Source organism: Homo sapiens, chromosome 3 (genome assembly GCF_000001405.40).
Source record: "Homo sapiens chromosome 3, GRCh38.p14 Primary Assembly".
NCBI lineage: Eukaryota > Metazoa > Chordata > Mammalia > Primates > Hominidae > Homo > Homo sapiens.
Window position 1 is genome coordinate 65,719,171 of NC_000003.12, and position 26,434 is coordinate 65,745,604.

Consider the following 26,434-nt stretch of genomic DNA (forward strand, 5'->3'; position numbering starts at 1 on the left):
AAACAGCAGTCTAACTACATAAATGTAACCAAGACACTGCTATAGATTTATTTGAATTGGGCTTATATGGATATATATTACATACAATACACACATACATATATATACACATATATGTGTGTGTGTGTGTGTGTATATACATATATATATATCTGGGCTTACCATATATACATTTTTGTAGAATGTGGATATTATACAATGTTTAATGTATATATATTTTAAATTAAAAATATTATGTATGATTTTTTTAACTTGCTTTCTACAATTTACATCATACATTGTGAACACTGTTATATATAAATAAATATTCATCTATAACATCATTGTTAATGCATAGTATTTTATTAGAGAAGTACCATAACTTATCTACTCAACCTCTTTTTTTTTTTTTTTGAAACAGGGTCTCACTCTGTAGCCCAGGCTGGAGTACAGTGGCATAATCACAGCTCACTGCAGCCTCAACCTCTCAGGATCAAGTGATCCTCCCACCTCAGCCTCCCAAGTACCTGGGACCACAGGCACACACCACCATGCCAGGCTAATTTTTGTATTTTTTTGTAGAGAAGGAGTTTTGCCATGTTGGCCAGGCTGGTCTCAAACTCCTGGGCTCAAGAGATCCATCTGCCTTGCTCTCCCAAAGTGCTGGGATTACAGGCATGAGTCACTGCACCTGGCCCATCTACTCAACTTCCTATCTTGCACAGTTATGACAGCAGTGTCAAACTTAAAAATGTTACAATTCAGATGCACAAAACAAATGCAACTTCTTAATTGTCTATAGTTTATTTAACCTTCCTTAAGAGCTCTTACCCTGACAGGTAGCGGAGTAGTGCTAAGTTATTGTTGACAGTATCTCAATTTCTTGTGTTTTAAATGGAGTCTTTGGGTGAAGTCACTGGAATGTAAGTTCCACGAAGGCAAGGATTTTTTTCAGTTTCATTTCCTGCTGTATTCCCAGTATCTACAGTAGTGCCAGGCATAGGGTAAGTGTTGGATTAATATATTTTAAATGAACAAATCCATCTCTTTTTTTTAATGTTAATGCAAATCCTCCCTACAATGACATCCAGGTATCTGGGAGGCTCACACAATCTTGTGGCAGTAGGAAGAGGGGTCCTGTGCTGGTCACCGAGTCCTCTGCTCTCTCTGCTGTGAAGTACCTTACCTGCCAGGTTACCCAGTGTATGCCCCATGGGCATCTGACACTGAAGCCTACCCTGGAAGACTTGGCTCTGTTCTCCAGGCTTGGACTGAGTGCTACGTTCTCTCTTACCAATTCCATCCTAATTTAACCCCCTCAAATTCTGATGAACCTCTGGGCCTCAGTCCCATCCCCTAACCAATCCTTGACTTAGCCCATCTTAGCCTGTACTTCTAGAATGTTAGCTCACCATCACTAAAGCATCACCCACGGTAAGCTCACAGGCTCTCTCCTCAGGACCTTATACATCCCCCAAGAAACACGTAAAGCTTCCCTTTCATACCAAGTGGGAGATGAGGAAGTTCAGGATAGATAGATCTCTCAGGCCTTCGCTCTGCCTGAGCCTGATATGCTCTTATTCTTTTTTTGTTTGTTTTATTTTTTTGTTTTGTTTTAGAGACCGGGTCTCCCTCTGTTGCCCAGGCTGGAGTGTAGTGGTACAATCTCAGCTCACTGCAACCTCCACCTCCCAGGTTCAAGAGAACCTCCCACCTCAGCCTCTCCAGTAGCTAGGACTACAGGTGCACAACACCACGCCTGGCTAATTTTTTGTAGAGACGGGGTTTCACCATGTTGCCCAGGCTAGTCTCAAACTCCTAGGCTCAAGCAATCTGCCCACCTCAGTCTCCCAAAGGGTTGGGATTTCAGGTGTGAAATCCCACCTGAAATCCCTGGCCATTCTCCTAAACTTACCGAGCTGCTGTTAACCTGTCTTGGTATGGGATGGCCCTGCAGTGTAGCCTTCCTAGAGTTCCAGAGGTAGTGAGACCAACGCCCTATTGCTTTTAACTAATATGTTTGCCACCACTCCCAGCATACACTGGAATTCTGACTCCAGGGTATAACATAACACACACACATACATATTTTGTTACTTCCCTCCCTTTCCATCTTCCTTGATCCCCACACTCCACTAGGCCCGAAGGGCTGGGCTCCATGTCACTCTACCTCTTCTGAGGCAGGGACTTCCCTTACTTATAATTCATCATCCAAACCAGGATGCATTTGAGAGTAAAAGGGGTGCTACTGATAATTAGGTCAGGATAAGGTGCATGAATTAGAGCTGTCCTAAGCAAGCTAGTAAGTGTGGTCACCCTAGTTACATTAAACTTGACATTCAAGTTCACCACTGGGCCTTGTTCTTGATATGCTAATGTAGGCTTAAGGGATTTAGAAAATCTTATTTTGGTAGACAAAACTTAAGCACTGACTCCTTCCTGCCTTCCTGCTTTAAGAATCATAATCCCTTGAGGCAAATGGATGCCTCTGGGTGTTGGGAAAGAAGGTCATTTACACAGAAATGTAAAAGAGAAAAACATATTAATGTACTCGAAAATACTACTCCTCTTATTTATGCTACTCCAAAGAATGTGACAATGAACACTTATGGAATTAAATCATTGCACACTGCCTCAGTTGGTTTCCTTAAAATGGCTGTTTCTGTTTGTATGTTTTGTTTTGTTTTTTGTTTTTTTTTTCAAGTAAGCTTACATAGACTTGATTTCTAATTCTGGAGGTCGACTAAGGAATCTGTAATTCCCTACTTTCCCAGTGTGTCTCAACTCTGGGCTCTCGACTATCCAGTTTCTTCTTCCTGGAATGTCCTCCCACATTCTCACTCTGCCCTTACAAGTCTTGCTTTCCACTATGAGTTCCCTGTTGCTGACCTCCTTCCCTCCTCCAATCCTACTACTCAGGGTCAGTTGCTCTTTCCACAGTGCTCTCACAGTAGAGCAAGTTCCATGGCTTAAGAACTGAGTCAACCAATTCGTGCAGCAGTCTTGAGAGGTAGGTGGAATATTTCTACTTTGAATATCAGGAAACTAAACTTAGTATGTCGTGATACAAGTACTCACCACAGTTGATTTGTCACTATCCACCTTACCTAGATTTGTTTAAGAATTAAATGACCTAGTGAATGGGAAAACTCTGGGAAACAGATGAGAAGCCGGACAATAAAAAAATTACTTTGGGGACCAGGCACAGTGGCTCGCACCTATAATCCCAGTACTCTGAGAGGCGGAAGCAGGGATGGACAGATCACTTAAGCCCAGGAGTCCGAGATCAGCCTTGGCAACATGGCAAAACCTTGTCTCTGCCAAAAAAAAAAAATTAGCTAGACACAGTGGCATGTACCTGTAGTCCCAGCTACTTAGGAGGCTGAGATGGGAGGATTGCTTGAGCCCAAGAGCTGGAGGCTGCAGCGAGCCATGATCACACCGCTGCGCTCCAGCCTGGGCCATAGAGCGAGACCCTGTCTCAAAAACAAAAAAATTACTTTGGACTCATCTTCTTTCTACATGGTTGTTAAACTCTGTGATAACAAAGACTAAATTTTATCTAAATCATAAAATATTAGTGTGACATGAAAGCCTCAAGAAATTATGAACAACGTTAGCAGAAGTTTCACATGAGCAAATTTAGCCCTCCATAGGCCCACATTTCTGTAAAGGAACAAAAGAAACACCATGTGAGTTTCCAGCCACTTCTGTTTCTAACGGTGAATACTTGTGGGGGTAGGGGAGGGGTGGAGGGGCTGGAGGGAACTTGAATACTACCTTTGATTTTTATAGATACAAGATGTAGATATCTGTTGTAGTAAAAAAAAAAAAAAGTCACAAATGAGAATTTGGAGCTCAAAGATCACTGAGAAGGAGCAATGATATTAGGACATCCCTCATGGACTTAGGTTGCCCGGACTGTCATCATACAGGTCAGAAAAAGATGTCAGGAAGGCGCAATGGAGAACCTGCCTTAGAGTCTGAACTAGTGGCCAGTGCTCAACAAAACCTAGATGAACTAAGAAGAGACACAGTTCAGGTCAGAGTGCAGCTAGGAGTGAAACCCCTTGTGGCACTGTGGGTACACCTCGGAGGAAGTGTGTGTGTTTATAAGCATCTTGTGTCTACAAGAGCATCTTGTGTCCATAAGCTTATTGAAGAAAAGAGCTACATCACCAAGATGCTTCAATCCTGGACTTTTCATGCAGAACATCCAGTATCTGGAAGGTGTTAAGAGTTTCCCCACCCCAAAGTAGCTCCAAAAGAAAGCTGACAATCTCTAGGGGCAGAAATAATAGCAAGAGCCATCTCTTGGCACCTCTGGCTGTAGAATCTCCTCAAGCAGCAGTTTTCAAAGTTTCAGGACTCATTTATACTCCTCAAAATTATTCCTTTCCAAGTCCTTTCCCTGCTCATGGTGTTTGTCACAAAGGGGACTGAGTTCTATAGATGTTATATGTGTAACATATCTAGCAACATCAGTCGACACAGATAATAAACTGGGATCTGTGTTTCCTCTACACATATGCTCCTCTTAAACAGTACATTCTCATTAACTTCAGAAAGTTAACAACAACAAATGGCAAAATTAGTACTTTTGACATGTAAAAATGCACATCATAATCACAGTTTTGGTGGAGAACTTATGCTAAAGTGAGAGTGATCATCTTAATTATATAGGAGGGTCTCATTAGAGCCTCAAGTATTTAATCTTTAGTGAGATTCAGCATGAGTGCAAGAGAACTTTGTGTGGAAATTAGCATGTTTGGGGATTGGAAAAAGTAAAAATCTACTAGGTGTACCTGTGAACACACACATTTCAAAAATCCCATCAATTGCAGACACATACATCATCACTTCAAAGAAAGCAACTTAATACTCTGAGCAAAGCATTGACAATGATATGCCTGAACAGACAGGTTTAATTAGCCCAAACACTGTGTGTCTTAAAAAAGGCAACACATGTCCTCGAGCTTTCTTCCACCTCAACAAGGCTTTATAAAAGCACATGTGTTTGTTTGTATATAAACTCACACTGTCCTGTGAAAATTATAATGTAGTCATGGAGAGGGATGCTAACAGAAATGGTTACCACAGCAACAAAAATCACCACCACACTAAAGATGTCTGATTCTGTTTCATCTCTCAGGTTTTTGTCAGAATGGCTTGCTCAAGTTATCCTTCAGCAGTCTAGAAGACAGCCCTTTCAGCATGGGACTACCATTATTCTCAATCACCTGAGCATAGCCATAACTTCACCTGAGTATAGTCATAACTACAAAGTCTTTGGGTAGGAAATTTTACTGGATACCTGGATCAGATAAATCTATACTGCCCATTAGAATGGATGCTATCTGAAAAGAGGGCTTTTCCCGTTTTGTTCATTGGTGAGCCACTGTTATCTAGGATAATGCCCGACACATACTAGGTGCTCAACATTTGTTAAATATATAAATGATCACTGTATTAGTCTGTTCTCATGCTGCTCTAAGGGCATACCTGAGACTGGGTAATTTACAAAGGAAAGAGGTTTAATTGGCTCACAGTTAAGCAAGACTTGGGAGGCCTCAGGAAACTTACAATTATGGCGGAAGGGGAAGCAAACATGTCCTTCTTCACATGGTGGCAGAAGAGAGAAGTGCAGAGCAAAGAGGGGAAGAGCACCTCATAAAACCATCATATCTCATGAGAACTCACTCACTATCATGAGAACCACATGGCCAAAATTGCCCCCATGATTCAATTACCTCCCACTGGGTCCCTCCCACAACACTCGGGGGTTATGGGCACTACAATTCAAGACGAAATCTGGGTGGGGATACAAAGCCTAACCATATCAATCACCATGAAAAACACAGCATAAATTAAAATCCCAGCTGAAATCTCTCTATTTCATTTTTAAATCACAACACCCAGGATTTGAGTCAAAAAAACTCAATATTTCAATATGCTTAGAAGGAAACAACTCCAAATGAGATTCCTTTGCAACACAGTTTGATTCTTTATCCCTTTCAGTTATAATTAAGTCATTCAATTGAAGTAGGACAGTACAATGGTTAAGTGCATGGACTCTGGAACAATAATGTCAGGATGTGAAACCAGGCTCTATCTCCTTATAGCCTTGAAGGGACCACTTGACTTCTGTGTACCCCAGTGTCTCCATCTGAAAAACAGGGAGAGTAATGGGACCTATCTCAAACATCAGCTATTACCATTTGAGCACACACTATAGCTACAAAGATGAATAAAACATCCTTGAGTTCTTATTATACCACCCCCCACAGGGTATCACAGATCTTGTTACATGTCTAACAAGACAGCAGGAGGACAGAGGTACAATTATCAGACAGTCTTCCATTGTCTCAACTCTGCCAAACCCTGGTGGCTGGGGCTCGACAACTTGGTCACTGAGAAACTAAGGCTGGCAAGTAGGCATGTGGACTCACCTTTTGACATTCTCTGGCATAGCATGGAAAAGAAGAAATGCAAGGGACTTGAGTGTCACCAAGCTAACAATGCTGAAAGACAGGAATTAGTACATCTCCTTCTTCACTCTGCCAGATCCTGGAATAAGTAGCAGCACATTCCATTCCAGCCTACTTAAAATGGGAGCAGCACAGTCTTAGCCGATGATCAAAGACAAAAGATCTAGAAGTTAGAATTTCAAGACTCTCCAAGCTGGTTGCTCCAACGTTAGAAAAGTCTATGCATAACAGGAAAAAGGTTGGAACTCAAATTCTGAAAAAAACTTGATTCCAGGTAAGTTAATTCGTCATAAAAATAAAGGAAAGAAAGGGAAAAGAGAAACTATTATTTAAAGGGTTAACAGTCTAGTTGCCTCTCAAGTATTTTCTGAAGCCAGTTTAGCAGGGTTAAAGTAATATATATGAACATATTCTTGGCAGAGTATAGTAAAGAAATATGAAATTATGCAAAGACTTGTTGAGATTAAATGAATTACTGCTGCATATGAATCAGTCTTTTTTAAAGAAGCTATACAGTATAAAATAGACACAGTCTTGTCATTGATTAGATTTACATTTCCATCTTATTTAAGCTATGCCACCTGGAGAATAAGATAATTCAATGCTTTTTTATATAAAACACCTTGGCTTAATATTTCACAATGAGAAACTTTGATTTTGAATTAAATTATGACAAAATGGAAGTCTAGGAGAATAGAATATTCAGCATACAGGATGCTAACCATTCAATCTGGTAAAGATATTGAGTCTCTGACAGTGAATAACTATTGCAATGTACATTTTCCTACAAATGAGAAGTAGATTCAGAAACTCTACCAAACCTTTGAAAATCACACAGCAAGGCAGGCATATATTGCCCTATTTTTGTGGTTATGTTGAGGTATCAAGTTTCTGCAGCATTCACGAAGCCCAGAAATCTCTAAATAATGCCACCCTCAGTTCATTGGTGATATCTCAAAAATGGCTAGAGAGAATTATTGTCTTTTATACATACTGATCCAAAAGAAAGCTGTAATTTCTCTAGGACACCATCCACAAGTGTGCTATAAAGCACAACTTCACCAGGGTTCCTAGAAACACTGACGCCCTCAGCTCTTGGGGGCCTGGGTAGGGTTTCAGGCACCTAGGGACCTCAGAATGGTCTCTTATCCTACGAGCATCTTGATAGGGCTTCAAATCCCCAGGCAAGTATCACCATTATCCGTTATAGCCATGGCATGCAAAAGACGAGAGGCAGAATGGAACAGATAAAGGGAGATGGATAAACAGGTTGAGTATCCCTAATCCAAAAATCTGAAATCCAATATGCTCCAAAATCCAAAAAAAAAAAAAAAAAAATCCAAAATCTAAAACACTTCTGGTCCCAAGCATTCCAGATGAGGAATATTCAACCTGTAATTCCACACAATGTTAACAGGAATTTGGAAGAAAACAAAATATATGGGATGGAGAAAATTCTGTGGCCAAATATGTGTAGGAAGTAGTGAGACAAAGTAATAGAAATTTCTTCACTGTAGGATTTACAAAAATTCTTTAACATGCTGATAGAACATGTTAAAAGAATATGATACTGTTGTAATTCAACAACTTATCTGACAGCACACTTATTTAAATGGAATTTTACCAGAGTTAGGAATTCACAGAACACAGTTTGAAAACCACTGCTTTACACATTTGTGTTACCTGATAAAAGGACTTCAATAAACATTTGAGTTACAATCGAATTATTATATATATAAAGAAACAGGGAGTTATTCCATTTATTTATTTGTTTTTGAGGTGGGGTCTTGCTATATTGCTCAGGCTGGCCTTGAACTTCTGTGTTCGAGCAATCCTCCAGCCTCAGCCTCCTGAGTAGTTGGGACTACAGGTGTGTGCCATTGCCCCTGGCTCTATGGGAGTTACTCCAAATGAAGCTTCCAATGAGGAAGATATTTTATGATAAACTGAATGTAACCTGGGAGATGTGAGTAATATATGTGAATGGCCTAAATTAATTCTGTTATTTTACTTCTAAAATATTCCAGATGCATTCACACATTGCTTGTTTCCCTTTCTTTTGTTTCAATCAATGAGTAACTATGAGTGTCTCCTATATGCTCTAGGCACTGGGACACCCAGTCTCCCTCAGAGAGACAGACAAGATGGATCAACAAGGTAGGCAAGACGGAGCTTCTATTTTCACAGAGGCAGACAGATGATAGGAAAGCAGATATATATTATTCAGAAGTGAAAATTATGTTATACTTTTAAGGATGATATATCAATCCGGGTGATGTCAGGGAGAGTGACTATAGGTGGAAATTTGGGTGGGAGTACTATTTGAGAAGAAAGTCAATTAGTACCCCCACCCAAAATAGACCAGGAAACATTTGTAAAGGGATATAGTCTGTTTCCTAATACAGGTGCAGGCAACTTCAATGTAAGCTAACATAATGTATTGTCAGAATAGCATTTTCCACACTCAGGAAGGGTCTGGAAGTCTGGAAGGCTATTCTAAGGAGGTGGCATAGGAACTGTGTCTGGGACCATGAGAAGGCATCAGTCAAGAAAGATCTAGGGAAGGAGATTCCCATATGAGGCAAATGACAGGAGCAAATGCTTTGAGATGGAAATGAGCTTGGGGAAAACTCAGAACAGGATGATTGGAGCTGGAGCACCCTGTGAGGCGCAGAAGGTGGCCTAAGATGAGCTGGAGATGCAAAGAGAGACAGACCACGTGGGATCATAGAGCCCATGGTATGGAATTTGGATCTTTGTCTGCAGGAAGCTGCTCAGCAGTTTTCAGCAGGAAAGTGCTATGACATGATTTCTGTTGTTAAAAACAGCTGCTGCTGTGTGGGAAACAGCAAGAAGAAAAGCTGAAAAGATGAAGAGAAGTAATTCACCCCTAAACATGGTAAGTTACTTCCTCAAACCCCAGGGCCTAAAATTCCAAATCCTGGAGAAATAAGTCAAACTAGATAGTCATTCAGCTAAGCAAAGAGCAGGTGTTCTGTGGCACAGCTGAACTTTTACCCTTCAAACAGTATTGTCAGAAGAGAAACAACTGTCCCAAAGAAATGATGCAAAGAAAAAACCGTATTTTTTAAAAAATTATTTTGTCTAGGACACCACTATTCTTAACACTTTTTTTAAAAAATCTTAAAGGAACTTGGGGATAAAACTTTTTTAACTGCATAAGCACTATTCCTCTAGTAGAACTTGAGTGTGTAATGAAGCCAATTGTTTTTTAAAATAGTAAGGCTTTACTGTGATTCCTAATCAATACTCATATGACATCTCCTCACAAAATGATCATTTACTGTGTTTAATAACTCTTGAGATTAAATAGGAATGACATGCAGTAAAACCTGACTAATTTTGATCTGATTAAATCAAGTTTTGCAAAAATTTGGACCTGGCATGGTCTGAATCTGTGTTCTGCATTATCCAATAAAAACAAATCTGTCCTACAAATTAGCAGTTAACAAAAAATGGAACGGGGGGGGGGGGGGGGATGATATTCACTCTGAAGAAAACAAGCCATCTACAAGTATATTCATATAGGACCAACACACTAATTATAAACTGCTTATCTATTCCTGACAGCAGGTCACTCCAAAATCTCTATTACATTATGTAAGCATACGTTGAGGTTGCCTGCACCTACATTGGTAAACAAACTATATTCATTTAAAAATATTTCCTGGCTGAAAGTTCTCAATGACTTCAGCTAACAATACAGTTAGGATCAAAGTTTGAGGTTGGCTAAAATCACATGAAATCACTATGTATGAGCATTTTGGGTATAATACTATGCACAGTAGACAATATAAAACATAAAACATATATATTTTATACAGTCATTTAAGATTTGGTTTTATCTGAATGTCTAAGTGGACTAACTTCCAGCCAAAGGTTTAGAAACAACACTGAATCTAACTCAGGGAAGAGCCACTGCCAATCCTGCTTTACTAAACATTACAACCACTACCCAGCAAGGCCAAATTCCTTGAGCAAATGTGTGTTTGCTGACCCTGGAACCCATCTTTGAAGCTCCCCATCGCTAATGAAAAGTGAACTCTACTTCCTGACCTTTTCAGCTGTTCTGGGAATCCAGCCATAACCAGAGTCTCCCAAGAGAATCTCTGAATTTGTCTACTGCAAATACAGCACTGCAATCTAAGCAGGAAACTGAACTAGATTTTAAAACAAGCCGTTAGCAACAAAAGGCAGAACATTAAAATCACCATGTAATACAATCCTGCTACCACTGACCTTTGGTTATATAAGTAGTTCAGAATGACTTGATTGAATAAGAGATGCTGTATTACTTTCTTTCTGTGACTAAACATTTTGGGGCCTCATGTTCAATTAGAAATTAAAATTTGGCCACACATACCAAGAGTCTAATTACATTTCTCAGCATCTGTCTTTCTTTCCAGGCCAAAAGAAAATATTTATGAAGAGCAGATTGAGACAAAATATACTGCTGTGGAATTGGTGAATATCTCCATTACATCATTTGCCTTTTAGGTGGTTTATCAGTTAGGAATGCTTTTGGCTGCAAATAAGAGAATCTTTGCATTAAGAGTAGCTTAAACAGTTAGTGGCTTATTTATCTCACAAAATCTGGAAGTGATCCCTGGGGTTGCTTCAGCTCTTCAACAATGCTATAAAAAAAAATGGCTTCCACCATTCTCAGCATGTGAATTTTCTTCCCCAAGCCTGTCACCTCATTTTCACAAGATGCTACTACCTTTCCAAGCAACATATCCTCATTTAAAGCAGGAAGCAGGAGACAGGGGCGAAATGACTATCTTCATGAGTATCCATCATCTTTACTAAGGAAGGGAATCTCTTCTACTTCCCCTCACGTCTCATTGGCCAGAGCTGGGTCGCATATACAACTCTAGACCAGTCACTGGTGTGGCAGAATGGACTGACGAGACTGGCTTAGACCAACTGTGATTCACGACGTATGACCTGGGACAGGCCTGCTTTGCCTGAGATCAAGTAATTGTGCTGACTAGACACAAAATCAGGGGTCAGTTAGCGGGAACAGGGAGAGATGCTACTGAGGAGATAAGGACAGCACTGTAACCCACAAATGTTTCCTAGAATGGAAAGATCTACGGATAAACAAATGAATAAATGGTCACTAAAAGAAAAAAGTAATAGTTCATTTTTGTTTTCTCTACAGCAAAATATTGTGAGAGGCTGAAGTGTTGTCAGAGCTGTAGAACAGAATCTGTTATTGTCTAACTCTCCCCACCCCCCCGGGGTTTTTGTTTTTTTTTTTCTTTTTAATAAGTGAAATGGTTACCTCCATTGTAGTTTTGCCAAATTCAATGAAAAGAATCACAATGAATCAAGTTACCTCTAGAGGCATCTTCTAGCCCCCAAATTTAGTTACTGGATAACTCAAAAGGTAACCACCGTGCAACAGGGCATTTCTTCCAGTTTCCCTGAAGGGTGATCAAAATGTCCATTTAAAACATATAACCCATACCCCATGATTTAATGACTGGTATATAAGTAAAAGGCTGAACTTACAAATACTCTCAAGAGAGAAACCCTGTCTTCAGAATGTAATAGCTTTGGAGCAAATATGGGAATGTTTGTTTGCCATGTCAGACATACATAAAAGGAATTTTCGTGCTATGGCTAAAAACACCATCACACAGTCCACCTTAAAACTTGGCTCCAGTCGGGTTAAATAGAATTCTAACAGCATTTAAGGAAATCTATGACCAGGCATGATGGCTCACACCTATAATTCCAGCACTTTGGGAGGCTGAGGTGGGTGGATTACTTGAGTCCAGAAGTTCAAGACCAGCCTGGGCAACACAGTGAAGCCCTATCTCTTAAAAAAAAAAAAAAAAATTAGCTGAGCATGGTGGTGCATGCCTGTAGTCCCAGCTACTGGGGCGGCTGAGGTGGGAGATTCACTTGAGCCTGGGAAGTCGAGGCTGCAGTGAGCTGTGATTGTACCACTGCACTCCAGCCTGGGTGACAGAGTGAGACTCTGTCTCAAAAAATTTAAAAAAAAAAAAAAAAAGAAAGAAAGAAATTTACATTATCATGCATAAATCAGGCATTTTTAGTGCTTTAAATAATAAATGGCGCTCTGAAAATTCAGCCTAAAAGCAAGCTGTGCTTATTTATCCCCAGGATTCGAAGACTGATACTAAGAAGAATGTTAAATGTGGATAGTAGCCAGAATTGGAATATAAGGTGTAATCTCCATTCTTGCTAAGTTTACAAGCACAGGAAAGAATGAGGGTCTAAATTTTAGAAACTGTTGTGTACAATATTGTCAGAGTTGATTACTTGTGGTTCTGATATAATACTGGGATACTGAAATGTCGCAATTAAACAATTCTATTTTAAGTATTATGAATATTTTTCCCCTTTAAATTATATAGCTTCTTGGTAGAAAACATTCACGTATCAATTTAGCAAATTAGCCCCTGCTGAACTGTTCAGAAATAAAACGAATTCAGTCTCTGCATAAAGAAGAGGGCACCAACCTCAGAGAGATAACAGAATCTAGAGAAGAAAAGTTCCTGCCTCTTTTCAATGTCTGTGTGCTAGGATTGCAGTCCAGGTGCTCTGCACTTAGGTAAAACACACAGACAAGCCAGATTTGGCTACTCTCATTTACAAGACATGAAAACTTGCAAAGACTTTGTACACAAACCCACTTCTCATTAGACTGATCCTTGGGGATACTGATAAGCAGTAACTAGTGAAGAGTACAACCTCATCCTTCCTGCCACACTTTCCAAGAGCTCCCAGGATTAGCTGTGCGAGAAAGGGAAAGAAACGGTTTCTGAATCATTTCAAACCACCAGCATCCTTCCCCAGACTCTCTAACATCAAGCTGCTCTCTGCTACCCTCTAGAGGATATCAGCATTACAACAGTAAAGAAGAAAGACTGCTAATCACAGCGCGGCACTTACCTAGAAAACAAGAATGTGAAGTTGAATAGAATGAGGATTCCTTCAATATAATATACAAAACTCTTTTGAGACTTCTGTTTTTAGTATCAACTATCATAACAAAATTATGCAAAAATCCTGCTACAGATTATACATCACAATTAAGCAAAAGTTATGCATATCTTCCCTCATTCCCCAAGTCTGATCCACTTCCTGGAGTTTGTACTAACTCAAAGCATTAAACTATATGCTAAGAAGTATCTTTAAGGTCTGGCAAAAAAACTATGACTCTGATTCTTGAATTCATTGATGAGAAACTCAAATGAGAAAAATGAACTAGGTGTAAAATATCAGGGAATGATGAGGACTGTGGCAAACTGGGGAATCTCCTGCCCCATTAATGGGGTAAGAATCTATTAAGTTCTTGCTGATTGTCTGGACTCAGGGTTCCAAGATCACTTGTTTTTTCTGTCATTGTTGTGGGTTTTTTGTTTTTGTTTGTTTTTTTTGAGATGGAGTTTTGCTCCCAAGCTGGAGTGCAATGAGTGCAATGGCGCGATCTTGGCTCACTGCAACCTCCGCCTCCTGGGTTCAAGCAATTCTCCTGCCTCAGCCTCCCGAGTAGCTGGGATCACAGGCACCTGCCACCACGCCCCGCTAATTTTTTGTATTTTTAGTAGAAATGGGATTTCACCATGTTAGCCAGGCTAGTCTCGAACTCCTGACCTCAGGTGATCCGCCCACCTCAGCCTCCCAAAGTGCTGGGATTACAGGCGTGAGCCACCGTGCCCAGCTGTGTTTTGTGTTTTTAAATGAAAAGCCAGAAAATTAATTGTATGTAAAAATCTCTATATTTTAGAATGTTTGACCTCAAAACACTGTAATAAGAAAAACAAATAATGAAATATCTTGAAGATTTAGCCCATCAGAGCAGACATTTCTGCTCTAAGATTATCTGTCAGTGGCAACTGCAATCCAAGAGAAAAACCAGAGAAGGAAACCTCATCCATCTCTCACACAATGAGAGTCATCCTATCAAAAAACCATCTGGTTTATAGGGACAGATGTAGCAGATGTGGTAATTTGAAGACCGTTTAAATCTTCAGCCAGTCCCTTCCTTGGATGTTTGATCTTAATCTTGAAACAAAGTGGCTATATTATATGGCATATTAAGGCATAAATAAATCACTGCAACCATCTAGGATATTTCTTCCTTGCCTGCTCAGTCCAGAAGCACAGAAGATAGTCAGATGGACACTTCCAAGAAGGGAATGGAAGCAATGAAACCACCTTCACATGTTTGTAGGAGGCCATGTCACTACAGCTGTTGTTAATCCACTCCCAGGGAAGGGCAATGCAGGTTTGCTGTTTAACACCGAAATTCCTGCTCTAATTCTGAGTGTTACTTTTCTCCATCTTGGGTCTGATTTAAAATCCAATCTACTCCTCCTATCACTATAATGTCCCTTTCTGAGGTCCATTTATCTTTCTCAAAAAGAAGAACATCGTCTCAGTCGATTTTTCCCATGGCTGACAGGGTTTGGAGAACAGATATAGCAGATGAGGATGCCAACTCATTTTTCATTTGCAGGTTAAAAACATTATCTTGACTGGGTGCAGTGACTCACACCTGTAATCTCAGCACCTTGGGAGGCTGAGGCAGGAGGTGGGAGGAAGGCTTGATCCCAGGAGTTCGAGCACCCTGAGCAACACAGGGAGACCCTGCCTCTACAAAAATTTAAAGACTTGGCCAGGTATGGTGGCACTTGCCTGTAGCCCTAGCTACTTTGGAGACTGAGGCAGGAGGATCTCTTGAGCCCAGGAGGTCGAGGCAGCAGTGAGCCGTGATCATGCCACAGCACTTTAGCCTGGGCAACAGAGTGAGACCCTGTCAAGAAAAAAAAAAAAAGAAAGAAGAGAAAGAAAGAGAGAAAGAGGAAGAGAGAGAAAGAAAGAGAGAAAGAGAGAGGGGGAGAGAGAGAAAGAGAGAAAGAAAGAGAGAGAGGGAGAGAGAGAGAGAGAGGGAGAGAGAGAAACTGTCTTGTCTACATAACCTTCATTATCATTAGTCAAATCTCTATTTCAACAGCATTGAAAACTCTTTAGTGACTGTTTCCAACACAAATATATGACTGCTGAAGATTCCTGAAGGAAGCAGAGTTGTTAAAATCTAACAATAAGCGAGTCCTCTTGAATGTGTGTATGGATTTATTATAAATTTCCAGGGAAGCTAAATCCAGTGTCACATCTAGATAAACAGCAGGAGGGGAGGACAGAGAAGGAAATGGTGGGGGGAGGGGAGGTGAAGAGATGGGAGGTGAGGGGAGGAGAAGGGAGGAAGAGAGCGGAGGGGAGGGGAGGGGGAAGGAAGACAAATCCTAAAATTATCCTATAGATCATTACAATTCACATAAAAGCTTCTCTCTATTAAAAAAGAAAGTATATACCTATGCATACAATTGAGTTACTTGAGAATCTGGCAAAAGACCCTTATTATTTAATAATAAATTACTCCTGAAACACAAAGCTAAATTTAAATATCTATGAATGTCATTTAACCTCTGAAGATGTTTCATCAAATACATATTGGAATCATGCTGTATTCCTAGCATTTAATTTTTTTCTTGAAAATGAATGAATAAGAGCCATGTAGACTGCTTTAAAATTTCACTTTATAGATTGCTGTCTGCAAGTGTTCTAATAATAGACAAATGGAAACAGAAGTTAAGGATTTTTGGGGGGGTTCTCATTTTAAAAGTGGATAAAGCCTGTTTTTAAAAGTGTGTCTGCACGTGTGTGTGTGTGTGTGTGTGTACAGGAGATCAACAGAAAATATAAATATTGGAGGTGATTCCTAAGGTTATGCAAGATGGTGAGACCTACATAAGAACCAATAAGATGAGTGAGATCAGCGAGATTCCATTAAGTTGATCTATCATGTAATATTGTCAACAGATCCAGGGCAATCTGAAGCCTCCACAGATGGTCAGACAGCACTGAATTTGGTATTCACGGCTCTTGCTAGGGATCCGTCCAACCCAGTGAATGATCCTTGAGCTAGTATAAAAATGCAACCCCCAGGCCCCACAGCAGCACCTCAGTTATCATTATTATCAACAACCTACTGAAGACAAAAAGAAAAGCAACATGTGCTGACCAAGGAGGCTCCACAGTTAAAGATTCTCCCTCTGCTAAGTTTCACTTACAACAAAAAAAATTTGACTTGCCAATACACATATATTAACATTGATGTCCGCTGCCGCTCATTAAATGCTTAGAATGTGCCAGGTTATCAAGCACTTTACAGGCACCATGTCAATAACTGAAGCCTCTGTGAGGACCATTCTTACCTCCACAGTCAGATTTCATAGAGGCCCATGGAGATTAGATAGCCTGATCAAAGTTCTACTCCCAGTGAGTGCCCGAGCAGCAATCTGAACCCACATCTTCATCTCTAAAGACACTGCTCTTGCCTGAGACACTCCAACAATTAAATCTCCCAGACGCAGAATTTTCAGAAGTAACACTGATATTTTTGAAAGTGAATTCAGAGAGCCGAAGGTTCATTCTCTGTTACCATCATTCAATTCTCTTATGGTTTTCTATGGGTCTTGCCAAAAGAGCACTTTGATTTCTATCATTCTATTTCCAACCTGTAAGAAAAGTTCCCAGCAAAAGTAGCAGCTTCATCTATGTGGGATCTTCCAGTGGTGACTTTTAGATCAATGGAGTTCCAGGTGACAAGAACAGAGACTCCTTTTAAAAGAATGCTATTTGTATTAGTCAGGGCTCTCCAGAGAAACAGAACCAATAGGACATATATATACAGATATATAAGAAGAAGTTTATTTATAGGAATTGGCTCACATGACTGGCTCATGTGAATTGGCCAAGGAGTCCCACAATATGCTGTCTGCAAGCTAAAGAACCAAGAAAACTGGTGGTATATTTCAATCCATGATGGTATAAACTCCCAATCCAAGCCAGAAGGCTTGAGAACCTGGGGTGGGTAAGGGCAGCACTGGTATAAATCCTCCAGAGACCGAAGACCCAGAAACCAAGAGCTCCAATGTCCAAGGGCAGGAGAAGATGGGTGTCCCAGCTCAAGAAGAGAGAACAAGTTCGCCCTTCCTCCATATTTGTGTTCTATCCAGGCCAGCAAAGGACTGGATGATGCCCATCCACATTGGTGATGGCAGATCTTCTTTACTCAGTTTATTGATTCAAATGCAAACCTCTTCCAGAAACACTCTTACAGATACACCCAGAAATAATGTTTTACCAGCTACCTGGGAATCTCTTAACCCAGTCAAGATGACACACAAAATTAACCATCTCACTATTAATTTCAAAGGCAACTTCATTCCTAGAATACCACAAACACCTTTGTGCCCACCAGCCAGAACTGATTGTTAATACTGTCACACTTGCATCAAGACTTTTTTTTTTTTTTCTTTTTGAGACGGAGTCTCGCTCTGTCCCTAGGCTGGAGTGCAGTGGCGCGATCTCGGCTCACTACAAGCTCCACCTCCTGGGTTCACACCATTCTCCTGCCTCAGCCTCCTGAGTAGCTGGGACTACAGGCACCGCCACCACGCCTGGCTAATTTTTTGTATTTTTAGTAGAGACGGGGTTTCACCGTGTTATAGCCAGGATGGTCTCAATCTCCTGACCTCGTGATCCACCTGCCTCAGCCTCCCAAAGTGCTGGGATTACAGGCGTAAGCCACTGCGCCCAGCGCATCAAGACTTTTAAAATGAATGGATGGATGGACAGATGGACGGACGGGTGGATGGATGGACAGATGGATGGATGAATAAATCAGCCTTAAATTTAATGAATAAAAGCAACTTCTTCCAGTAAAGAACAAGTCAATGTTTGGAACTAATTAATTTATTCACCAGGTATGCCCTGAGTTAGAATCCAGCAATGTGCTAAATACTGGGGATACAACAGGAAATAAGACAATAATGTAACATTGTTCCAATACAGGAAAGGAGAGAGCATTGTGGGAGCATGGCAGGTGGTAGCTCACTCACAATCACTGGCTGCCATATGGTGCCCGGTTTTCCAATACTTCCAAGAGGCAGAAAATAAAGATTTTACATGGGTAGGTGGCTGGGGTCAAACCACAAAGGTCCAGGCTAATCACGTCAAATTACAACCAATGAAAGATTTTAAATGAGGAAGTGAGATCACTAAATTCTACTTTATCAACATTACTCTACCCACATATGGCAAATGGGTTGGAAGGGGTGAAGATGGAAGCCTGAAGTTTCACTTAACCAATTACCGAAAACAACACACACACACCTCTCTCCACACACACACACGCCATTAGCGCATTAAACCTGCCTCATTAGGACTCCTAAAATCAGATTCCACATTCCCTTACAATATTCTAACTTGAAAATAAAAACTCACTGTAGGCAACTAGTGCTTTCAAAGCCCTCCAGTTTTCCTTCCTCTTTGTGCTAATGGCTTTAGGCCACATCTCACTGCAGGAGCAAAGTGTTTAAATCACAACAGGTTTGCACTGACAGTGGCACTCATCCCATCAATATCCTCAGAGAATACTTATACAGGCATAGCTCACAGATACTGTGGGTTCGGTTCCTGATGACCGCCATAAAGTGAATATTGCAATAAAGCAGGTCACATAAATTTTTTGGTTTTCCAGCACATATAAAAGTTATATTTAAACTTTTGCCATCCTCCTGCCTCAGCCTCCTGAGTTGCTAGGACTATAGGCATGGGCCACCACCCCAAGCCAATTTAAAAAAAAAATTTTTTTGTGGAGATGTGGTCTCATTGTATTGCCAGGCTGCACTGAAACTCCTGGCCTCAAGTGATCCTCCAACCTTAGCCTCCCCAAGCACTGGGATTATAAGCTTGAGCCATCACACCCAGCCACAAATGTTCTTAATGGCCTCTAGAATGGTAAATTGTTTCCAGAAGATTTTCAACTTACTTTGACCAGATCCATAGAAGAATCACTATCTACGGCAGCTATAGCTTTACAAAATGTATTTCTTAAATAATAAGACTTGAAAGTTTAAGTGACTCCTTGATCCATGGGCTGCAGAAGGGATGCTGTGTTAACAGGCACGAAAACAACATTCATCTCCATGTACATCTCCATCAGAGCTCTTGGGTGACCAGGTGCCTTGTCGATGAGTAGCAGTAACAATACATTGAAAGGAATCTTTTTTCTTCTGAGGAAGTAGGTCTCAACAAGGGCTTAAAATATTCAGTAAAACATGCTATAAGCAGATGTGCTATCATTCAGGCTTTGTTATTCCATATATAGAGCACAGGCAGAGTAGATTTAGCACCCTCTTTAAGGCCCTAGAATCTTCAGAATAGTCAATGAGCATTGGCTTCAACTTCAAGTCACCAGCTACGTTACCACCTAACAAGAGACTGAGTCTGTCCTTTGAAGTTTTGAAGCCAGGCATTGACTTCTCCTCTCTAGCTAGGAAAGTCCTGGACAACATATTCTTCCAATAGAAGGCTGTTTCATCCGCACTGAAAATCTGTTGTTTAGTATAGCCACATTCATCAATTATCTTAGCTTGATCTCCTGCATACCTTGCTGTAGCTTCTACAATAGTACTTGCTGCTGCATCTTGCACTTTTATGTTATAAAAACAGCTTCTTTCCTTAAACTTCATGAACCAACTTATAGGCCAGCTTCAAACTTTTCTTCTGCAGCTTCCTCACCTCTCAGCCTTCATTCACAGAACTGGGGAGTTAGGGCCTTGCTCTGGATCAGGCTTTGGCTTAAGGAAATGTTGTACCTGGTTTAATCTTCTATCCAGACCAACTTTCTCCACATTAGCAATAAGGATGTTGCACTTTCTTGCCATTCGTGTGCTTACTGGAATAGCCCTTTTAATTTGCCGCCAGAACTCTTCCCTTTGCATTCACAACTTAGTTAACTGTTTGGTTCAAGAGGCCTAGCTTTCAGCCGCTCTCAGCTTTCCACATGCCTTCCTCATTCAGCTTAATCATCTCTAGCTTTTGATTTAAAGTGAGAGATGTGTGACTCTTCCTTTCTCTCAAACACTTAAAGAGTCCATTGCAGGGTATTAATTGACTTAATTTCAATACTGTTGTGGCTCACGGAATAGGGAGGCCCCAGGAGAGGGAGAGAGACATGGGAAAGGGGGATCCGTGGAGCAGTCAGAACACACACAACACTTATTAAGTTTGCCATCTTATATGGGTATAGTTTGTGGCACCCTGAAATTACAACAGTAACATCAGAGATAAATGATCACAGATCACCAAGACAGACAGAACAAGGAAAAAGTTTAAATATTGTGAGAATTACCAAAACGTGACTCAAAGACACAAGGTGACCACATGCTGTTGGAAAAATGGCACCAATAGACTTGGGCAATGCAAAGTTGCCACAAACCTTCAAGTTGTAAAAAAAAAAATGCAGTATCTGCAAAGTGCAATAGAGGGACACAATCAAAAGGATGTGCCTGGAATGGCTTTCAAGCACTAGTTTATCTGAAGCCTCTGATAGGAATGTGCATTCAGTATGCATGCGTACTCCCACACACCCTCAAACACACAGAAACATAACAACCCATATTCATTTTTCTGCCAGGAAACACCACAAATCAATTTCCACTAGTGTCTTTTTGGTTTTTAAAACAATTTACTGGACTGATAATGATGCTAATAATATTTTCTGGGCACTGGTCATCGTGTGAGGGACATTACTACATTATCTTAATTTAATGCTCCCACAAATCCTAGGAGGTTAGTATAATTACTATCCCCATTGTACCACTGCAAAAACCAGTGCTTGGAATTGTTAATGAGCTTGCAAAGGTCATACACCCAGTAAACTGAGATATTGGGATCTGAACCTGGAAAGCCCAAATCTGAACCCTTTGTTTCTAACAGCCATGCCTACTTGCCTCTTCCAGGGAAGGTGAACAGGGCAGTGATAAGGGTGTCTGGCTGTAGGGCCACACATTATTTTCACATTTACTGTTAAGGTCTCAGGAAAATCCCAGTGATAGTGGGGAGAAACGATGGAAAACTTAATTACTGTTCATTATTTTGCATCGGTTAAGAAATAATCTACTCTCAACTGTTATCAATAGACATTCTGAAAACTTCAGGAAACCTCTATCTCTATAAAACCACTGCTTTCAGCCACTAAGGTCAGGTCGTGAAAAAATACATATTAAGATTTAAAAATTTAAGGCACATAGTGCTAAGTAAATAAAAATCCACTTGTAAATATGTGACCCCATTTTTGTATGCACACATCCACAAACACTAGAAAATATAAACAAAAATGTTCAGCCATTAACTTTGAGATCACTATTTTTCCTTCTTTATGCTTTTCTATCTTTCCTAAGTATTTCAGATTTACTGTTTTTGTAATGGGGGAAATATGATTCAATGACAGCTTTGGGTGAATAGTGAGAAGAGTTTAATGCCTTTTGGGCTGCTTCTGAAATGCACATTTTGAAGCTCCTTCTATAATCATGTAAACAACATCAAAGACTATGGTTATGACCAGAGAGAACTTGATCAACTGTGGAAACTGCAGTTCCATCAAAATAAAAGAGGTTGCTATTATTGATTTTTTTTTTTTTTTAAATGGAGTCTCACTCTGTCCCCCAGGCTGGAGTGCAGTGGCGCGATCTCGGCTCACTGCAACCTCCGCCTCCCAGGTTCACGCCATTCTCCCACCTCAGCGTCCCAAGTAGCTGGGACTACAGATGCCCGCCACCACGCTTGGCTAATTTTTTGTATTTTTAGTAGAGACAGGGTTTCACCGTGTTAGCCAGGATGGACTCAGTCTCCTGACCTCCTGATCCGCCCGCCTCGGCCTCCCAAAGTGCTGGGATTACAGGCCTGAGCCGCCACGCCTGGCCTATTGCTTTATTTATTAAGCTACAACATTTGATGAGCACATTTGATGAAATAAAAAGTTCTTGTTGTTGGCTCCTGCAGTTGTGTCAATCTTTAAAATTTACAAAAGAACTTAAAAACCTAACAGGGAGTAATTCTATCTTCCTTGAGCTACAATTTGCAGAGTTTTTAAAGAAGCCACGTTGAGAAGACTCATTTTAAACCATGCTTCTGTACTGGGATAAGTTAATGGCTTTAATGCTGAGGAATATACCCTAGGATCACAACATGTCATAGACATCAAAGGATGTGTTTCATTTGTGAATAAAATTTATTATACATCAGCAGAAAGCTTTCAACAAGGAGATCCACACTCTAGAAAATCCACGAACATGGAGACCCAATCCAGGCTGCAGACAGTTAATCCCCACGACCAATTTTAATCACCCATTCATTCAACAAATAACTAATAAGTGTCATGCCCGGAACTAGGTACAGCCTAATGAGGACAGCATAGAGGAGGTGCCACCTTGACAGAGTAGGATGTTTGGAATCCACTGGAATGCAGTCTACAAAATGAATACTACGTGGCTTTCATTGCCCTTGTTCACTCGCATGGGGATATGATATTTAAATATATTTATATCAAAATGCTTAGAATTCTACAATATTTAACACTGTATCAAGTCCAAGAAGAACAAAGGCTGTTCTTCAAAGTTTCCTGTTGTTGCATATCAATAACAAAAACAACAGCAACAGCAGGCCTTACTTTGGAGCACTTTCAATGAATCAGGTTCCCTGCCAAATATTTTACATCATTATTTCATTAATTTTAAGAAAAAAATTCTTAGAACTCCTGCGCCCATGTTTTGAGACAATGAATGCATCTTTTTCCCCATTATGAAAATCCAATATACCCAGAGCCTGCTTCTCATTTTAATGAATACTTTTTTATGTAGAGCAAGTAAGGGCTTCAGAGCCAGACACATCAGAATGTGACTTGGGGCTCCACCATGAATGTTCATATGGGCTTTGGGGCAAGCTCTGTGGTCTCTGAGCCTCTCTGTCCTCATCGCTGAAATAAAGACCCCAGTCGCTTTTCCCAGAATTCTTCAGACGATTAAAGGAGATATTGTGTGTGAGTGAATGTGTCTGTGCATTCCCCAGTGTCTGCTGGGGTGCATGCACAACAGCTGACTTTATTCAAGACGCCACCTACAACCACACTACTTCATGCGCTCTCAACCTTTTACTGAATTCCATTTCCAATGAACTGTCCTAAGACTCATATCTGATTTCCACAGGATTCTGCTGAGCTGGTAACCTTCTCTTTCCCTGCATCTGTGAAAACCTACAGCATTTGTCATACAGTCAATCAGAATGTAGGAAACAGGCTTAAGAAGATGCTGTTAATTGCAGAAACCTGCTGATCAACAATATGTCTGGGAAATGTTTGCAAACAAACCCTGAAACATCTGTCCACATAAAAGTCTGAAAACAGATATGAAAATTAGCTTTTGAAGAAAGGAGTAAATGGGAGACAGGGTTAAATAAACTTCATTCTATCAATTGCTTAAAAAAAAAGAAAGAGACCCTACATGACTTCTCTCTACAAAGACATCTGCATATTTTCCTGGATGCTAGATACGTCTAGGCATACAAAGATGATTCATACCACATCATCTCATTATCACTCTTGAGATCACTTGTTAAAATAAATAATGTATCTTTTTTCCCATGGTGATAATATTCATATTCTAATGTTAAAAGTTCAGTCCTTTCAAAATCCATTCATTTGCTCAACTTTATACCAAGCTTTTACTATGTGCCTGATACTATAAAATCAGGATATAGTCTAGAAGATTCCTAAGTGTTTGTCCACCAAGTTCTTTATATTCCACCATCTTCCTTCTAAATCACCCAAGAAAAATATCTCTGAAGCAGTCCTCATCTCTGCCAGTATTTAAAATATCTAGGCCGGGCGTGGTGGCTCATGTCTGTAATCCCAGAACTCTGGGAGGCCAAGGTGGGCAGATCACCTGAGGTCAGTAGTTCGAGACCAGCCTGGCCAACATGGTGAAATCTCATCTCTAATAAAAATACAAAAAATTAGCCGGGCGTGGTGGCATAGGCCTGTAATCCCAGCTTACTCGGGAGGCTGAGGCAGGAGAATTGCTTGAACCTGGGAGGCAGAGGCTGCAGTGAGCTGAGATTGTGCCACTGCACTCCAGCCTGGGTGACAGAGCAAGACTCCATCTCAAAAAAAAAAAAAGTCTAAAAGAAAAGTCTATTCGTGTCACTAAGGGTTTTGTTAAAGTAATTATTTATTTTTTCTGTCTCTAGGGTATATTTAACACATATTCATTTTTTGTGTTGGTTCTCAAGTCTTGAGTGGAACACATTTTAATATAATAAAATAAAGTCTGGGGAAAATTAATTTACACATAAAGATAATATATACTCACCAAGACACCATGATTATGTGTGGGCTTTGTTATTCTAAAACTTTAAAATAAAAAAAAAAAGTGAGACTTAACATTCCTTCATTAGACTCCTAATAAGGGGATGTATTTGGGTGTTTTGTTTTGTTCTTGGGAATGAAAATTTCAAATTGTTCATTACATTTCAAATCAGTTTTTAGGAAAGGCCAAAAGCTTCATGGGTATCTCCCTAATAGAGAAAAACAGTGAAAGCTAACTTTTAAAATGTGCTTCTAACAGTTTGTTCATGGCCAGGTTTCTTCTAGCTAGTTTTCAGGTTTCAGAACTAAATGCCCCATATCAGAGAATTTTAGGACCAGATGAATAGTATAGAATCTATAGATCACCCAATGTCTCTCAAAATATATCACAGAGAACTGGTTTGCATAGGTTAGACGATGTGACTCCAGATTTTGAACCCCATTACTGGCTTCTACCTCCCTCCGAGGGCCCAAAGTATAACTGGCACATAGCAAATGCTCAGTAAATGTTTGCTGAATAAATGAAATGGGGAAGTCAGCATAACAAGAATAGGCTGAGAAAGATTATAGTGGCACTGTTTTAAATGAATGAGTCTGGTTAGAATGAAATCTTAAGTAGCTGACCAGGCTGATGCAAAGGTTCCAATCGTATGGAAACATGCTTAAGAAAGAAGACTGAATTAAAGAAGATATAGACTGATTTTATAGAAGATATAGACTATATTATACTCTAGGATCCTAATTTCAATGATAAGAAAGACTGTCAGGAAATGTTTTTGTTTTCTGTTTTTTTTAATAAAGGTAAGAAAAAGATGCGAAAGTATTAACAGTGAAATCTCCGAGGGGTGGGATTATGGACAACTTTGTTTTCCCTTTTTAAAAATTACATTAACATATATAAAACGAAATTTGCCATCTTAACCATTCTTAAGTATGTAATTCAGTGGCATTAGTAACATTTACAACATTATACAATTATCACTACTATCTATCTTTTTCATCACCTGGAAGAGAAATTCTTTAACTATAAGGCAATAAATTCCCCATTCTGTCCCTCCCTCCAGCCCTTTGGCAACCTCTAGTCTCCATCCTGTCTCTCTGAATTTGCCCATTCTAGATCTTCCATACAAGCAGAATCATACAGTGTTGGTCCTTTTGCATCTGGCATATTTAACTTAGCATAATGTTTTCAAGGTTTTTCCACAAGTGATTTTTTGGAAAACTATTTTCGCATATTAAATTATTTTTTACAATGGAAATGTTATATACAGGGAACCAGAATGCTTTGTGTCTCAAATAAGGTGTAAGCTACAGAGAAACAGAAGCAGGAAAGAGAAGGTATCTCAAGCAGGAGGAATGAGACAGGCAAAGGGGCACAGGGCAGAGGACAGACAGTGCCCCCAGAATGGCACAGGGAGTGGTGTCAAGGATTAGTGGTCAGTAAGTCAGACTGCACCTCTGAAATCAGCCTAGCAGATAACCAAGATCATCTTGCACAGTTCTTACCACAAGATCCAATCCACTGACAAAAATACAGAGCGTATTACTTACAATTGGAAGCCCTAACTTCGCAGGCAAGCATATTTTGCATGAATTGGCAGGTTACAAATGAACATAAGAAGACAGCATCTGTCAAGTCCCTTAGGAAACCAGGCAGAACCAAATGTAATTCCTTACCTGAAAAACATAAACA

The 26,434-nt window shown here is 40.1% G+C and overlaps 1 protein-coding gene and 1 long non-coding RNA gene across 7 annotated transcripts in view; both read right to left on the minus strand.

The window, feature by feature from the left end:
* Positions 1 to 26,434, minus strand: part of MAGI1 (membrane associated guanylate kinase, WW and PDZ domain containing 1) — a 685,393-nt gene that overhangs the window by 365,645 nt on the left and 293,314 nt on the right. The window lies entirely within an intron of this gene.
* LOC107986018 (uncharacterized) overlaps positions 1 to 26,434 on the minus strand; it is a 63,442-nt gene continuing 37,008 nt past the window's right edge. The window contains exon 2 of the long non-coding RNA XR_001740441.2: positions 1 to 26,418. This is a non-coding gene — a long non-coding RNA (uncharacterized LOC107986018). The remainder of the gene's footprint in view (positions 26,419 to 26,434) is intronic.